Source organism: Homo sapiens, chromosome 12 (assembly GCF_000001405.40).
Source record: "Homo sapiens chromosome 12, GRCh38.p14 Primary Assembly".
Classification (NCBI taxonomy): Eukaryota; Metazoa; Chordata; class Mammalia; order Primates; family Hominidae; genus Homo; species Homo sapiens.
In genome coordinates this window covers 103,647,881-103,666,020 of record NC_000012.12, presented here as the reverse complement: position 1 = coordinate 103,666,020, position 18,140 = coordinate 103,647,881, and the positions used below count along the sequence as shown (strand labels likewise).

The following is an 18,140-nucleotide window of genomic DNA, read 5'->3' as shown; positions in this document are numbered from 1 at the left end:
CTGTCCACGGGCTCCCAGCTTCTGATCAATTCTCTGCATGCAGGGAGGCACCTGCCCCTGAGGGGACATTGCAGTTATTGACCTGTGCTAGGGATGAAGTATTAGCTTTGGTTACAGACTTAAGGCCATGTCCTCCAATTAGCTTAGCAGCAATATAGCCGAACACTGAATCTCTGCCTTTCAGTCTCCTGGATTCTCCTCTACTGGTTCAGGGTGATGGAATTGGGAGTGTGCCTCCAATTTCTCCAGATCCTCTCTGACCTTCTCCATCTGGCTCTGTGCCCCAGAAGGTAGACCGTGAAGGATGTTCTCAAGCTCCCTTGCCAGCTTCTGATTGGTGTTGGCCAACGTCCAGTCACTAGCAGGATTTTGGTGGGTAGGAGGACAACAAGGTCAAGGATTTCATCCCTGCTCCCTCTCTGCTTTGGTACCATCCCTACGGCTCCTGAAGGAGGTCACCTCTTCCACGCTTCCTGCTCTCACTGGGTTCAGGTAACTCTATGTCCTGTCCCTGGGCTCTTTGGTCCCTAGTTGCAGTGGTTTCCTGCTTCTCCCTCAAAGCTCCAGCAAAACTTATTCGTTTCCTTAGCCCTGTCCACACCTCTGCAGTAGCTCCTTCATCAGAATCTCTTCGTTTGGATCATCTCAGATGGATTCTGTTTCTTGCAGAGACCATAACTAGTACAGTGTTGTTATTAAACCTCTAAAATCCAAACATACATGGCCAAAGGCAGCTATAGATTCAGCCTGGTAAACACTGAGACTTCCAGAGGGTACCAGCTGCTTCTACTCTTTGCTAGTCCTAAATACTTTCCAGAGAATGCATTTGGACTTTTGATGAACCCACTCAAAAACCATTCTAAACCATGTAGAGCAAATAGATTTGACTTTAAACCTAGAGAAACTAGTAAAGGAAGAGTTCATTCTAAGGCAGCTATTAGGAAGTTCTTTTCCTTATGTAACCAAAATTCTTTGGGTTGTAGCTCAAACCCACATCTTGATTCTGTTCTTTAGGGAGGTGGAGAATAAGCTTTTGAATAATCTGAAATCGAACAGGTGATGCACCTGCCCAATCCTTGTTTCTACAGAATGAACCAAACATAAATCACTGCTGGGGACTGGCTAGGAAAGTGACCATGTTTCTGCCTCTCTTAAAAAAGGGGTTCTCAGCATGGAATCAAATTCTCCAGATGGCATCTGACTGGCACAGAGGATCAGCTCCGTCCTCTGTGGCCTAAATCATATCAGAGTCATTACATCAATTAAAATATCTAGAATTAAAAGAATCAGCCACAATCCTGTGCCAGGTGCTTGGCCAGCTATTTCCAGCCTTCATAACAAGAAGAGGAATCAGTAAAACAAAACAATAAATAAAATGAGACCATTTTTCCTTGTTTAATGCTCATGTTCCAAGGATATTGTCAGAGCAATCACTAATGTATTATTGAAGCATCCTGAAAAGAAAGACCCAGACCTATTATTGTTAAAACTTGGGGTTATGTTTTCCATGGGAACCGAAATAGTGCATGTACAGCAGTATTGGAATTTCAGGTGCTTTGATTAAAACCGGCTGAACTGGCCAGGGGCGGTGGCTCACGCCTGTAATCCCACCACTTTGGGAGGCCGAGGCGGGCAGATCACGAGGTCAGGAGATTGAGACCATCCTGGTGAACACAGTGAAACCCCGTCTCTACTAAAAATACAAAAAAATTAGCCGGGCGTGGTGGAGGGCACCTGTAGTCCCAGCTACTCGGGAGGCTGAGGCAGGAGAATGGCATGAACCCGGGAGGCAGAGCTTGCAGTGAGCAGAGATCCTGCCACTGCACTCCAGCCTGGGCAACAGAGCGAGACTCTGTCTCAAAACAAAATAAAACAAAACAAACAAACAAAAACAAAACAAAACAAAACTGGCTGAGCCAAAAAGTTGCTATGGAAATAGGAAAGGCTAGAGGGTACAGAAGCTCATAGGGAAACAGAAAGTTTGGTTTTTTGAAAAGTACTGCAGAAAGACGGTTGATTGGCTAGGCTAGAGCAGCTACCTGAGAAGAAATTCTATTTTAAGTCCCTCTTACAGTAAAGCTGTGAGCCTGGAGCAAGTGGTCCCAGATGACAGGGACAGGGGAAGGAAGAGGCAGGAGACTGATCCTAAATCCCAGGGGTTGGGTTGGAAAACCCTGATTGGATCCCAGAGCTCTGGTATAGTGGGTAAATAATATCTTTCCAAAAACTTGTGTCCCCTGGAACCTCAGAATGTGATCTTGTTGGGAAATAAGGTCTTTGCAGATGTAATTCGTTAAGCTAACATGAGGCCCTGCTGAATTAGTGTGGGCCTTAAATATAATGATCGATGTCCTTATAAAAAGAGGAGAGGTGGGTAGGACACAGTGGCTCAGGCCTGTAATCCCAGCACTTTGGGAGGCCGAGATGAGAGGATCGCTTAAGTCCAGGAGTTTGAGACCAGCTTGGGCAAGATGGTGAAACCCCATCTCTACAATAAAAAACTAGAAAAAAAAATTAGCCAGGTGTGGTGGTGTGCACCTGTCATTTCCAGACTGGGCAACACAGTGAGACCCCTGCAGCTACAAGCCACGGAATGCCAAGAATTGTTGGAGCCCCCAGAATCCAGAAGGAGGCAAGGAAAGAAACATTCTTCCCTAGAGCCTTCAGAGGGAGCATGGCTCTGCTATCTTGATTTCAGACTTCTGACCTCCAGAATTGTGAGAGAATAAATTACTGTTGTGGCAAGCCTCCCAGTTTGTGGTAATTCATCATGGCAGCTCTGAGGAGCCAATATTCCTGGGCAGCATCTATCATTGCGGAAATTCCCCAAGGAACTGTGGTTCACAGTTTATGAGGTGGGACTTCAGATCCACCTGCATCTTCATGAAGACGGAAGCCCTTTGGGGACAAGGTTCTGGAAGTCCAACTTTCTTTGACACCTTTCTCAGAATTGTGAGGAGTGGGATGCTCTCTGCTCTGAGGGGCTGTTTGGGGCCCTTACTTATTTTCCTAGTTTTCTTACCAGTTTCATCTCTCTCTTTGTTTCATCACATCGATGGGGCAGAATCGGGACAATGGAGGGAGGAATGAGAACTCCTGTCAGTGTGTAAATTCGGCCATTTTTGGCAGTGATCTCAATTTCTTCCATTGCCACATCATTTGCCAGAATCTGTCCCTGGAAAGAAAAAATGACATCTCTAATTCTGTACTATTCTGTACTGCAGGACTGCCAGTGATCCTCAGGCAGACTGAATGGTGGCAACTTTGCTAAAAAGTCCTCAACATCACTTAACTTTTCATTGGAGGGTAGGTTGCTATTATAAGGGTTTGGCTGACAGGGAAAGATTGAATCTGTTCAGTGAATTCTTGACTAACACCAGGCAAGGATGCCCTTGTAGAAATGGTTCTTGCAGGTGCAGGGCTAAGTACAAATTATAATTATTCAAGCTCTGCAATATACTTGCTGTGAGACCTTGCGCAAATTCTTTGACCTCTCTCTGGTGAAATAGGGATCCATTCATTTGAATACATTTATTGACCTCACTTATGCTCTGCCTTTGGAGCTGGGTATACATCTGTGAACAAATAGATGAGTTCTTGCTTATGTTTTAGTGGAGGGAGCAGAAAATGAACCAATTAGCAAAGATTTCTGATCTCCACTTTCCTCATAAACCTGCCACCCACCCCCTGCAGTATTAATGACAGCTTCATTCTTCTGGTTGCTCAAGTCAAGCTCCATGAGTTATCCTGGCTTCCTCTGTCTTCACCCCCATTTAACTCATCAGCAAATTCTGCTGTATCTACTTTCAGAATATTAGGTTGGTGCAAAAATAATCACAGTTTTTGCAATTTTTTAAAAATTGCAAGACTGCAGTTACTTTTGCACCAACCAGATACATTCAAAATTCAGCCATTCCTCACCATGTCCCTGCTACCACCCTGGTCTGAGTTACCATCAGTATTCTCCAGATTATTGCAATCAAATCTCCTCACCAGCCTCTCAAAATGTATGCCCGATCATGTCATTCCTCAGTTCAAAATCCTCCAACTGCTTCTCCTCTCATTCCAAGTAAGAGCCTGCATCCTTACCCTGACTTCTTAGGCCATGCATGACCTGACCCCCACTCTCCTCCTCTCTCTCTTGCCCAGCCTCCTTTCCTACTCTTCTCCCTTTTGCTCTCTCTGCTCTAGCCACACTGGCCTTGCTGTTCCTCACACAGCCCAGCATGCTCCTTTCTGCTCTGTGCTTTTCACCCTTGCTGTTCCCTCTGGAATGTCCCCCGGATATTCACACTGTTTGTTCCCCTAATTCCTTCAGGTTCAGGTTTTGTTCAGATGTTTCTTCCCCATGAGGGCTTCTTGAGTATTTATCTAAGATGTCAGCTCCATCCCCACCTTCTGTCCCCCTTCCTTGCTTTGCTGTTTTTCTCCTTAGCACTTGCTGCTGTCTAATAGATGATATATTTTATGCATTTAACTTATTTTCTATCCCCTATTTACTAGAATGAAATTTCCATACAACCAGGGACTTTTGTCTGTTTGTTCATTGGTCTGTCTTCAGGACCTACAACAGTGCCTGATGCACAGTAGGAACTCAATAGATATTTGTTGAAAGAATGAGATAATCATCACCATCAACAGTGATTCTATATCAACCCTGTGCTGCTGGATGTTTGTTCATATTGCAACCCCAGGGAGTTAGATGAATAATGCAGCCTTCTTTGGAGTTTTAAAAATGAATTGTGTTCCCCTGACCTCAGGGTCTTTGCACATGCTCTCTCTCTTTTTTTTTTTTTTTTTTTTGTCTGGAACTCTTTTCTACTGATCCCTGTCCAATTTCACTTTATTCATAGCATGGCCAAAGCATCACCTCCTCAATGAGGACCTCCTGGCCTGAAGATGCTCTCAGACTCCTCCTGTTCTGTGCTCTCACAGCCCCCTGAATTTCCTCTTGGGGACACTCATTACCATTGTAATTAAATAATTAACTCATTGCCCAGTGAGTTATTTAAAGTCTGTCTTCCCTGCTGGGATAGAAGTCTATCTTTTTCACTCCTTTATTCTCGGCATCTAGTGCAGACTCTCACGCATGTAGTTGCTCAGCACATATCTGCTGAGAGAAGTGAGCAAATGAATGAAATAATCATAAAGATTTTAAGCCCATGAGTTAGCATAGAGGCAGGATAACCTGATGAATAATCATTATCGAGCAAAGATGTGTTCAAGTGATGCTGGTGGTGGTTGAGTTTTCACTTACATTGTCGGTGGTGTTGAACTGTATGAGCTGGTTGGCCATGCTCCTGATGTGAGGGGTGGAGATGAGAGTGGCCACTTCAAGCTGCAATAAGAAGAGAACAAAAGGCAGAGATATTTGGGACCACACGCAGGGCCCTGAGTTCTTAAAGTCCTCACTAGAAAAAATAGGTTTCAAAGTGAAATAAGTAAAGGGAGTTTTGATCTCAAGAGTTTTTGTGGCTTTGAAGATCGCTCTGATAATGGACTCATTGTTCATGGCTGAGGGTTTATTCAGAGCTACAGATAAAGGACATTTTCTAGCGTCAAAATATTGGAATTCAAGACTAAGTTAGCTATCTTGGAAGCAGAGAGAAAGTAGCAGCAGGAAAAGTGGGGCCAACCTGGGTAAATGGGACAATGTGGTATCTGACGAGTTCCAGAAGCTTCCGAGATCCCTGCAAAGGAACCAAATACTTCTTTAGTCAAAGAAGAAAATGCAACACTTCCACTCTTGTGGAATCCTCTTCAAATGACGTTAGACAATCAAGAAAAATGACCCATAATCTATTGGGAAATCCAGGGTGAGAGAAACCCCACCTCCAAATAGCTAACGTTCACCAAATTCCCACTCTGTGGAAGAGGCTGTTTTGAAAGCATAATATGCACGTCTCATTTAATCCTCCCAACAGCCGTGTGAGGTGGGGACTCCTATTGACCCATTTTATGTGTGGTAATACCGACATTCAAAGACATGTCCAAGGTCAAAAAACTAACTCAGGATATGAGCCTAAGAATTAGCCCAGGCTCTCAGTTACTCTGCTCCATCACTTCTCAGAATGTCTAAGGCTATATTCTGGATTTTCTAAGACAGTCTTGATTTATTATTCTGTTCCATTTGCTCCATAAATAAACGTCTGTTTGTCAGACCACATACAGGTCATTTAGGATTATAGAGTCATAGGGATAGCGATCACCTCTTCCTTCCATGAGAAGTTTGTCCCTCTCCTTCAAAGCCCTTTCCAAGGTTTCTCAAGCTTCATAAAACTGAAGCAGCAGTGGAGAAAAGAGGGTCCTAGCCCCACAAAGGAGACCATAGACAGGATGAGCAGCCCCTATAGGGTGCCCTGGAGAGAGGCTGCAGAGTTGAGGAACACAGGGACCACACTCTTTGTGAGAAGAAGGCAGTGACCACAGTGGTCTGCTGTAATTTATCTGCAATCTGCCAGCTAAGTCAGAGATGGGAGTTACAAGCTTCACAGCCCTCAAGTTCTGCTATTTAAGTAGCACAGCCACAGTCACTCTGGCTTGGAAAAGTGAAGGATCACAAATCAAGATCCTAATAACTGCCAAGAGGTTGAATGTTCTAAGAACAGGTTGCAACAGCGTGAAGTCCCAGGCTAAGAGAAAGCCCTGCTGAACCTGAGTTTCCTCACCCAGCCTCCTCTCTGCATTTGGCCTTGGTCACTGTGCCAAGGGAGTTACCTGTTAGTAGCAGGACCACCTATCCTGGCTTGTCTGGTACAATCCTGGTCTATGCCTATTGTCCTGGCACCTCCATTCACTTTCAGAAGTGACCTGGCATGGATGATAAGTTATGTGGCCACCATATCTATTAGCCAATAGCATTATGTGCAGGGCAGGGTTGTCAATAAAAATGTTGAAATTGACCACCAGTTAGCCAGCCCTGGAAGTGATGCTTTCTGCAGCCCTGGTTCTGTTACTATGTGACCTTGAGCAAGTCACCTAGCCTTTACATCTCAACTTACATCTTCAACTTACGTCTCAGTTACTGCATGGTATTCAGAAATGGAGACTTACAGGCAGAAGCAATGTTATTACATGCTCTGATGCTCCAGTGGTTGAAGGAGTCAGACAAAGTGGGGACTGTTGGGAAACATCCCCCAAACTTGACTGCGTCCACCAAACTGGACTGCAAACTCCTGGAAGGCAGGGGCTGGGTCTGTCTGGTTTGCTAACCACCCATCACCATGTCCCCAGCAAGTGCAGTGTGGGGCATAAAATAAGTTTTCCATAAACATTTGTGCCAGTAAATTAAAGGGCATGGGTAGGGGTCCTGGGAGGAGCACTGAGCTGGCCTTCAGGAACATGAGATCTAGTCCTGGTTCTGCTTGTGTGTAACCTTCTGCAAGTCACTTAACCCATGAGTCTCAGTTTCACCTGCAAAATAAGGGGACTGGTATGGATTCCTTCCAGTCTTCTGATGCTTCTATAGGAAAGCATTTAGCAATGAGATAATCCACTTTCAAAGCCTCAGGAATTAATTATTGTATCCTTTTGACAAGAAGCAGAAGAATGAGAGGGACAAAGAAATTGATCCGCATCACTCCCGTTACTGTGTGTGCCTGTGTCTTATCTGGCTGAGATCTATTGGAGCCATTGCCCAGTTCGAATTCACTCCAGTGTGGCTCGAACAGGGTAGGTTTCCAGGAGCTGTCGTTGTTGAAGAGCCTTTTGGTGCGACACATTCTTTCTTTTATGAGGGCACTCACTTCCTTCCTGCTGTTTCAGGTAAAAACAAAATCAAACAAAACCAAACTCAAGTTCTTTGGTGCCAGAGGCAGAAAGAGATAATTTGACCTTGAACTGTATAAATTCACGTCCCTTTCCCCACTTTACTTGCAGGGTGTCTGTGAATTGGCAAGGGCAGGTGTCTTGCTCTCTTTGCTTTTATTTCTGTCTGGTTCAGTGATGAAACCTTGAACTGGGGCTTGTAATCAGAAGCTGTGGTCTCTGCAGGAATGGGAGGGTTTCCAGACTGAAATTTTGCCTCAGAGAGAAGTAGAAAGATACACTGGGAAGAAGACATGGCATTCCAAAGTCAGAATTAGAAGCCCTTCTTCTAAAGAGGACTGTTTATTTTCCATTTCATTGGCATAGCCGATGGGGAATTTCCTGCACTCTTCCTTGAAGATAAAGCCGTTAAGATGGATGGAGACAGAAGGAGCTTCCTATAGGTTGAGAAAAATTAACCCCTCTGTACCTGAGAAAGAAGCAGAAATGATTGTACTTCTCACCTAGAAATTGAAATGGAAAAGCAGTTTTTAACTCAGAACAAAGAGACCTGAAGTTTCATGTTCTTTGCAGGCAGAAAGATACGTCTTGGAGAGAAACAAGATTGAGAGCCAGGAGCAGTGGCGTGCATTAACCATTTTTGTGGTGTAAGTATTCTTACCAAAGGCTTATTTCAAGCTATAAATGTCATCTCATTGAACAGAGCTCAGAAGAGATGTACACAATCTACTCTGGAGAGCTTAAATGAGTCATTTCCAGATACCACTGGAAGGAGTTACAAGGGAGGAGAAAGAGAAGAATGTTTGGAACAAAGGTGGCTGACAGAACTAAGCAATGAGGTTGATTTTTTCCTATTCTAGTTAAAAGGTTTTATTTTAATTTTAAGTGTGTCATAGAACTCCTTTATTATTATTATTATTAAAATGTGCATCAAATTAGAAGCTATGTACTCAGGGAGGCCACATAATCTCAGGATTTTAATAATTTCTTAGGGGAACAACATTACCTTTTTTTTTTTTTTTTTTTTAGCTCACTTTAAGTATGAATGTGAGTTCTAAAGAGAGGTCTAGCAGTTTTCTGCAATAGCTAGGTTTCATAAAATTTGGGTGTGAATCATATTTTGAAATATCATTCTATTTTGGAAGACCCTGGGAAATCTGACTTTTTCTATGGAAACTTATAACTAATCTTTTCATATGTTGAACATCTGTTTGCAATGTAAGAGATTACTTTTGATTTATCTCCTTGTTAAGTTTTAAAAAAATCCTGGCCGGGCGCGGTGGCTCACGCCTGTAATCCCAGCACTTTGGGAGGCCGAGGCGGGTGGATCATGAGGTCAGGAGATCGAGACCATCCTGGCTAACAAGGTGAAACCCCGTCTCTACTAAAAATACAAAAAATTAGCCGGGCTCGGTGGCGGGCGCCTGTAGTCCCAGCTACTCGGGAGGCTGAGGCAGGAGAATGGCGTGAACCCGGGAAGCGGAGCTTGCAGTGAGCCGAGATTGCGCCACTGCAGTCCGCAGTCCGGCCTGGGCGACAGAGCGAGACTCCGTCTCAAAAAAAAAAAAAAAAAAAATCCTAAGTTTTTTGACAGCAAGATATCCTTATAGATACCTGAAAGCATTCTAAAAAGGGATATATATCTATGTGAATTCCTAAACCTAACAGGCAACAACTTTCAGCATTCCCAAAACAGTGTGGGCTGGGGCTATCTGAATTAGAAAGTTGGTGGTTACCAGCGTGTCTATTTCTGGGCCTCATCCCAGCACCACTAAACCAGAATGCTTGAGGTAGGGCTTTGGAATCTGCCTAGTTAGCAAGCTCCATGGATGGTTTCTGTCTACACTACACTTTGGGAATCACTACCCTAAAAGACTGGGACATCCTTTCCTCCTTCTCTCCACATTCTATATAATCAACACTGATCTTTATGAAGTCATAGGTCATCTCTCCCCATTACCAAGATGGTGGCATAGTTTCAGGGCACTGAAAGAAAGCATGTGACCTTTCATGTAATTCCACTATTTGACATTCTAACGAACAAAATTCCACAATAGGCTGTCCTCTTCAAGTTAAGGCTATTATTTCTGGGAAAGGAAACACTTTAAATGGTTTCAGTCATTGACACCCCGATATGAAGAAGTCAATAATTGCCCTTTTAGAGGAGAATGTGAGAGAACTGAAAGCCCATGGTGGAGAAAGATGAAAGCAATAGAAAGGAAAGGAAAGGCTGAAGCATCTAAAAATAACACGTATTCTTTTTAAAGTTTAGCCTAGACCTGGCCCTGAATGGCCTAGTTTAGGCTTCATTCTCTAGGTGATTTTAGAGTTGTAGGGAACTTGAAGTGTTGATTTTACTAGTGAGAAATATTAGAAGAGTCAAGACAAATCAAACCAACCATTTAGGCCTGGGATTGCAAATACATTTCATTTCCTGTATCAAGTCTAATTGATCATGGCAACTTGAAATTCTATCGAAGAGACTGAAGCCACATCCAGGCTTAGTTCCAGAATGTTGTGATTGATTAGTGATGCCTGCCTTGGTTGTTGGAGGGTAGGTGGTGATACATGTACAACTTATTTACTATCTCTAGTTTAGGAAAAACCTGTTTAGACACAGACTGAGGCAGTGCTGCTGACACGATGCCATCAGAGCAAGCAGAATACGGTACCTCTGGAGAAAGGAGGTAATCGAGAGTGCCGTCCTTCATGTTATTCAATGCTTCATTATTTGGAACAAAAATGGTGTATGGTCCACCAACTCCATCCTCATCTAAGGCATGTCCCAAATTGGTTTCCTGCATTTGGGAAATGAAATTTTGTATCTGCAGCCTACCTTGGACAAATATTTAACATAATTCGCCAGAAATTTATAATTGACACCCCTGCTAATTTTACAAAAGTCTTGACATAAATATTTTTCAGAAAATTATGAAAAGTGCTTACCTCTAACAAAGATCTGAACTTGCTGTACCTTGGTTGTAGCATTGTCATTATGGTTTGCTAAAAAGAGACATTTTGCTTAAAAATCAGGAAATAAAATATTGTGATTTAGGAAATACAAATTCTAACATTTAAAGACTGATGACAGAGTTTATGTGTCAGTATGGATTTATATAAATGAACCTGGTCAACTGCAATGCATTATATAAATGTTCGCTGTCGTTGAAACAGTAGTTCAGATCTGCATGTTCTGAAGTATCCTTTGGCCCTCATCATCTAGGTCAGAAGTAATAAGTTTTATTGCAGCAATAACTGCCCTCTATAAAATATTTTCATGATGATTGGTCATGGACTGAGTTGCCTGATGCAGTAATAAAAGAGGTAAAAAAAAATCCAGATCTTTCCCACATATGTTACTGTACGTCTTGCTTTCTTTCTGCAGAGATTCCCAGGTTTCTATTGGAAACAGACAAACCACCTCTTCTTCTCTCTGCTCGGGATCCTAGCACAAACGAAGCACAAGCACAGAGTGCTGGCATGCTCTGGATGTGACTCTCCAGGGAACAAAGGAAGATGGACCTGGCCTGATGTGACTTTTATCTGAATACTCACCTCATTGTTGCTCTCAAATGTGGGTTCTAACTTGTCCATGGCTCTGTCAAGGATGTGCAGAAGCCCATTGGAAGCAATGATGTCCCCTTGTATAATTTTTACCTTCTTTTTGCCTCCATGGAGTTTAAGCTTTATTTGATTGTCCTAAAACACCAAAGAAAGATAAAATAAGATTACTATGGTGTCCTGGAAGGAGCAAGCACTGGAGTAGAGTCAGAAGTCTTGAGTCCTTGGGCTTTGATATTTATTGGCAATGTGATTTTGGATAAGTCACTTAATCTAAAGTGGGGATGAAAGTGTCTGCTTTGTTAACCTCACAGGGTTTTCATTAAGATCAAATGATATGATGTGTGAAAGCACTGACAACTATATATGCTAAACCTGGGCAAGGTATTATCAAGCTCTTCTCCAGCAGACTGCAAGCTTCATAAGGACAAAACTATTTAATTTACTATAAATTCATCACTCACTTTAGTGTCTTGCACAGAGAAAGCACACAATAAAATTATTTGTGGAATAAATAACTGAAGCTAATTCCTTCTTCCTCCCATATAACTCCTAATAAGTGACAGACTTAGTAAATATTGGTTGAATGAATGAACAGGTAAATACATGCATATCCTTGTGAGAAAGCAAGCCACATCTTCCTATCTGTCATTCATCCATCCATGCATGCATCCTCCATCCATCTCTCCAACCATCCATCCATTCACCCATCCATCCATCCATCCATCCATCCACCTATCCATGCATCCTCCATGCATCTCTCCATCCGTCCATCCATCCATCCACCTATCCATGCATCCTCCATGCATCTCTCCATCCATCCATCCATCCATCCATCCATCCATCCATCCACCCATCCGGTGACCTATCCATGTATCTACCCATCCATCTGTTCAGTGACCTATCCATGTATCCATCCATCCATCCGTCCATCCATCCATCCATTCATCCATCCATCCATCCATCCATCCATCCATCCATCTATCCATCCATCCAGTGACCTATCCATGTATCTATCCATCCATCCATCCATCCAGTGACCTATCCATGTATCCATCCATCCATCCATCCATCCATCCATCCATCCAGTGACCTATCCATGTATCCATCCATCCATCCAGTGACCTATCCATGTATCCATCCATCCATCCATCCATCCATGCATCATCCATCTTCACACATGCACTGCAGCAGATTGGTTAAGAATGTGGACTTTGGAGCCACATTTGAATCCTGGCTCTGGCACTTACTGTGTGGCCTCTCTTCTTTCTTACTGGAGCAACAGGGATTATGAAGTCCCTCCTTTACAGGGTTATTGTGAGCCTTATGTAACAAAGATAAAGATTTATCCCCATACTTTGCTTAGAACAAGCACTCAAGGATCTATTAACTATCGATGTTCAGTAAAATGTAATAGTATAGGTCCTATGCCTATATACATGCACATTTTGTTGACTAATCACCTGCTCCCCAGCTCAATAAAATCACAGAAAGAGTTAAGAAGTGGGGGTGGGGTGGGGGAGGATGGGTTTATATAAAAAACAAACAGAACTAATGGCATTGGGAGAGAGGAATGTTAGGTTGGAGAAGATGGATCAACTCCAGCAATCTAAAACAAATACAATCTATTTCCTTCTATAAGAGGAATGCTGATCTGGCTTTGTGCTGATGCTTTCAGGAAACAGGTTTATAGCAAAGTTTCTCCTTCCTGCTGGCAGTTGAATGACAGTTGCCTTGAAAACTAAATCAGACCAGACCAAAGTCAAACACTTTGTAACCCCATTTGCATAACACTCCACCCTTCCTCCATGGCCTTCCCTGGTGTTGCTGTCTGTTTCTTCCTATATAAGGTGTTTGACAAATAATACATGAGGAAAGAATTTCCTTGTAATTTTTCACAAACCCCAAACAAAAAGAGAGAGAAGGATATGGGCATTGGCTTGGTGGATAATTTAGTTCTGGGAGTGAAAATCAGAGGAACCCTTACCTTATCGCTGTTGAAGATTTCCCCCGACTTTCCAGTCAAGGTGTAGAACATGTCTGTGTTATTCATATATTCGATGTTCATCTGACCAGCAATTATGTGGAGTTTCACAAAGTATTGAGCAGCTTTATTATCCACCAAAAGCTCATTTACCTAAGAGAGAAGAGCCAATTTTACTATTATTTGAAGAAGAAAATGAGTTTTGTAACACATGCTGTGCCTTACTTATTATCAAAGACATCAAAGCCAGGGCACCCTAACTTGGGTTTGGGCTTTTGCAAATACAAATGCATGAAAGCACTGACAATTATACTTGCTATACATTACCATCAGTGCAATCAACCTGGGCCAGGCCTTCCAGGGAGTAGAAACCTGGAGAGTTGGAGGCAATGCACAATCTACTCTCAAACCAGGGGAGGTTGCTTTAGCATTGAAACTGACATGGGGAAAGCACAGCATCGCAATGGCCCCAGGAGGAACAAGGAACAAGGAATCTATCTTGAACATGGAAAGCAGATGGGAATAAAATTTGAAGTTTCATGGAAAGAGTAGGTAAAGCAAGTAAGCTGATTGTACTTTTGAATAGAAAAGTTAAGATTTTTGAAATCCATGGGATCAAATCTACTTTTGTCATTACTACGTAGTCAACACTGAACAGATGCTTATATTAACTCTGTGTAAACTATGTGTTAAATGAGAGACCACGTGCAAAGTGCCTAGCCTAGAGGCATACAATGTTTGCTGGTTCTTTCCAACAGGAGTGGTATGAGGACATCTCTGAAGGTGAACAATAGAGAGATGAATATCAGACAGGTTAATCGTGGTGGTATATGAGGGTTAGAGAGCCGGCAACTTACTGGGTTTTGATTCATTGCAACAAAAATTATTACCACAAAATATCTTGGATTAAGATAACTCAATTTTATTTTTTCATTTTTATTTTTTCCCACTTCCCAGATTTCAATCTTTTATTGGCTTCCATCATTTTATGTGTATTTGTTAATCCATTTACTTAAATGTTTATTTATTTCTGGCTGATCTGTTTCACAGAGCATTTAAGACAGATGACAAGAACACACAATAAAAATCAAGATCTGGGCCAGGTGCAGTGGCTCACGCCTATAATCTCAGCACTTTGGGAGGCTGAGGCAGGCAGATCACGAGGTCAGGAGATGGAGACCATCCTGGTCAACATGATGAAACCCCTTCTCTACTAAAAATATCAACATTAGCTGGGCATGGTAGCATGTGCCTGTAGTCCCAGCTACTTGGGAGGCTGAAGCAGGAGAATAGCTTGAACCCGGAAGGCAGAGGTTGCAGTGAGCCGAGATTGCGCCACTGCACTCCAGCTTGGGTGACAGAGCAAGGCTCCGTCTCAAAAAAAAAAAAAAAAATCAAGATCAGGAAAAATAAAAACACATGTTAGATGGTAAAGGTGGGAGGGAGAAAGATATATAGAATACCAGTTCCTACACAATGATTAAAATGGAGGCCAGTGAAGATAATAAGTTGTATACAAATCGATAAGTCCATTATTTACATTAGACCAAATATAACTATATTAGTGATGCCATCTCGATAGGACGCCTCCACCAGGCACTACAAGTTTCATTCCCACTGGATGACATTATCTCAAACAACAGCTGCTCACACTGAAGACTAAAATTTTCTTCTTATTTTTTCCTTATCGCTTGTACCATTTATAATGATTTAAAAAACCCACATATCTAGCTAATACATTAATTTAATTCTTCCTGTGGGAAGTGAGCAGTTTTGCTTTAAGCAAATCTTCTTTATCACCTGGATATATGTTAAGAACACTCAGTGGTTACCTGTAGAGGGTAATGATTGGAAAGGGGGACCAGGGGGCCTTCTAGGTTGCTGGCAATGGACTTGGTGTTTACACAAGTAGGTTCACGTTGGGAAAATTCACTGAGTTGTACACTTACAATTTGTATACTTTCTGTAAGGATGTTATATATCACTAAAAGAAGTTTATCAAAAAATCACCATCCTTATCATCAGTAGGTTTAATTTTAATGGGGATTTCCCACTTTAAATAAAAGAAGGTACTCCCTACTAAGGCTTTTCATATTAGCCCCTTGGTGTAGGGTCATTTTAAATACTCACATTGAATCCTTTCAGTCCCTTGTCTGTAGGTAACAGCACCGTGAAGGGTCCCAGCTTACTCAGTGGCCAGGCATAAGCTTTGTCTTAGGAGTCGAAATAACACAAAGAAAGAAAACGCCAAATGAGTCAGTGGTACAGGAGGAGTAAAATCAGGCAACAGGTCTTGGGTCACGACCGGTCCATTTATGCCCTTCTCTATTCTAATGGGCATGTGTAGGCCCTGTGTCAACTGGGAATCTCTCTAAGAATGTAAGGCACCCTAAAGCCATGGCCTCAATACATTCCACATAATGCCGTGAGAGTTTTCCTGCAGACAGCCTCAGCTTCAAAGATACCCTGGCTGAGCAGTTCAGGCATGACAAAATCCTACCACAACCCCAGGGTCCCTGATCCTGCGCTTAACTTTGAGTTGTCACTGTCTCGGTGAGCAAAGAGGCAGCCCTTGTTTTTATCCAGGGCCAGCTCAGAAGAGCCCCGATGATTGGTTTAATGCTCTGCAGTTGCCATGTTGAAATGCTTAATAAATTTTGAACAAAGAATCCTACATTTTCACTTTCCAGTGGGCCCAGCAAAGTATGTAGGTAATCCTGCTTCCATCACCTGGGGAAGCTGGGACGACAGGACAGGCTCTGTGTTCTCACACCCAGAGGCAGTGTATAAGGACTTTGTCATGGGGAAGGTGAAAGGTCAACAGGACTCTGTCTAGGGAAATGTTGGAGGGCCTGGTCTGCAAAAAACACTACCTCCCCCCTGTCTGGTCCCATTTGGTATTCTAAGAGTTCTTAGAGTAAGGCTGTGAGGAAACTGGTAGATTGCCCCTGAGCCCAAGGGATGCCACTAATACTTGATGCCCTATGGGATGCCTTGGGAAAAATGGGATGTTTATGCAGGAGACATTAAATGGGATATTTAACCTTAAGATTTATGCAGAGAACACAGCATTGACCCATCAATTACACTGGTTTATCTATGTTCTTGCTGGGAGATCATTTTTGGCAACTGGTAAATTCCAACATAAAAGCTGATATTTTTAAAGTTTCTGTTGATTGGCCAAGTCTGTGTTTTACTTTTTTCAGAACGGCTGGATTTGTGTTTTATTGGAAGTTGTGTCCAATGCTGTGATCAGTTATAATATTTCATTCTCTAGAGAGTGTGGAGTAATGGCCCTTAGAAGTCATTTGCAAATACATGAGGGTGTTTTAGGCTCTCACCTTGCCTGGGGGGCTGGAGGTGAATGTGTCACTGTAGGCAATTAGTGACTGGGGGACCAAGGGTGCTAAGATGGTTGCATACAACCAAGACTATTCCAAAATTCAAACAGCCCCTCCACTGAGGAACAAGGATGCTGCCCTGGGGTCTCAGTCACCCTCTCTATTCCCAGTTTTACCTGCCAAGCTTTGTTCATACCTGAAGGATCTAGAAGGTCAAGGACGAGGGGGACAGTTTGTATCCTCACATCAGTAGCTGTCCTGTTCTTACTGTTACTGCAGCTCTGTTGGTCTATGGCGACCCCCAAACCCTGTCCTCAGCTCTCTGCCTGCTAATTCTTGCATTGCTAGATCTCTTGGCACTATCTCTTTGCTTGTCTTCTTTGAAACAGCTGCCTGCCCTTTCCCTCTCACCTGCATGACCCCTCCAAAAAGGCTGATTCTAATAGACAAGGCTCGCCTGTCCCTTTCTGAATCATTGTATCTTGCAGATGCCCTTTCCTGAAAGAGGACTTTTGTGTGGAAATCTGTACCCATAGCTGCGTACCTAGGAGTGAGATGAAAGAGGTCAGCCTTCCTTGCCATTTTCCTCTGGGTTCAGTATTTAATTCTCTGAGTCGCTCCATAATGTTTCCATAACACGTTAAGCCATCACCCACGTAACCTTTCTGGCAAATGCATCTACAGAGAGGGGGAAAAGACATCCTCAGGGTTTTAGAGCCATTGAGTATTTTGATCATACAGTCCAATCCCCTCATTGAACAGATGGAGCAAAGGATGCCCAGGGTTGAATAGGGACAAGAGAGCATTCCTAGTGTGGTATCTGACATCTAGTAGCTCCTCAAGAAATGGATGCCTAATAAATTAAATGTATCTGTCAACACTAGATATCTTTGTATGCTCTTTGTCTCAGTATTTCTCAAAGTGTGATCAAGAAACCATGCACATCAGAATCACTTGGAGTGCTTAATATATTTAATATAACATATTTAATATAATAAATGTGGACCCTAGGGCTCCACTGCATGACTGAATCAGAATAAGCTACTGAATTCAGCCTGCAGGACAGCAAAGATTCAGCATTATTGATCTACTTAGAATGCTTCCCCCACCCCTGCTCCTTCCTAGCTGAGAGCTCTGCTCAATTGCCACTTCTTTCAGAAAGGCTTCCTTGATTGCCTGTCTCTTTCTCCACTCCCTCACTGTGTCTCCATTATATATACTCTCATGAAACCACATACCTCTTCTCCATAGCAGCGATCATAGTGCAATTTCACCCTGACTTGTGTGATTATTTGATTAATATCTGCTTCCCTATAACATTTGAGAAAAGAGTGAGGGTAAGGGCTATGTGTGTATTTGTTCACTGTTGTGAACTCCAGAATCCAGCACAGGGTAGGTCCATAATAGGTGCTCAATAGTTGTACAATAAGTAGTAATTGAATTAAATAAATAGCAAACAATGAAGTATATAAACAATGAAAATAAAT

At 42.7% G+C, this 18,140-nt stretch overlaps 1 protein-coding gene across 7 annotated transcripts in view; it reads right to left on the bottom strand.

The window, feature by feature from the left end:
• Positions 1-18,140, bottom strand: part of STAB2 (stabilin 2) — a 179,447-nt gene that overhangs the window by 100,699 nt on the left and 60,608 nt on the right. For 6 of the 7 annotated variants that reach the window (XR_007063104.1, NM_017564.10, XM_011538537.3 and 3 more), the window contains exons 10-18: positions 17,198-17,331; positions 15,443-15,525; positions 13,316-13,465; positions 11,323-11,466; positions 10,714-10,770; positions 10,440-10,565; positions 5,637-5,690; positions 5,258-5,338; positions 3,023-3,175 (exon numbers count right to left, since the gene is read on the bottom strand). Coding sequence is in view for 6 of the 7 variants with exons in the window: in NM_017564.10 (NP_060034.9) it covers positions 3,023-3,175; positions 5,258-5,338; positions 5,637-5,690; positions 10,440-10,565; positions 10,714-10,770; positions 11,323-11,466; positions 13,316-13,465; positions 15,443-15,525; positions 17,198-17,331 (982 nt within the window). In the remaining variant the exon portion in view is untranslated. Of the gene's footprint in view, positions 1-3,022; positions 3,176-5,257; positions 5,339-5,636; positions 5,691-7,413; positions 8,045-10,439; positions 10,566-10,713; positions 10,771-11,322; positions 11,467-13,315; positions 13,466-15,442; positions 15,526-17,197; positions 17,332-18,140 lie in introns of those variants that run through there. The other variant, XM_011538539.3, reaches the window with a different exon arrangement.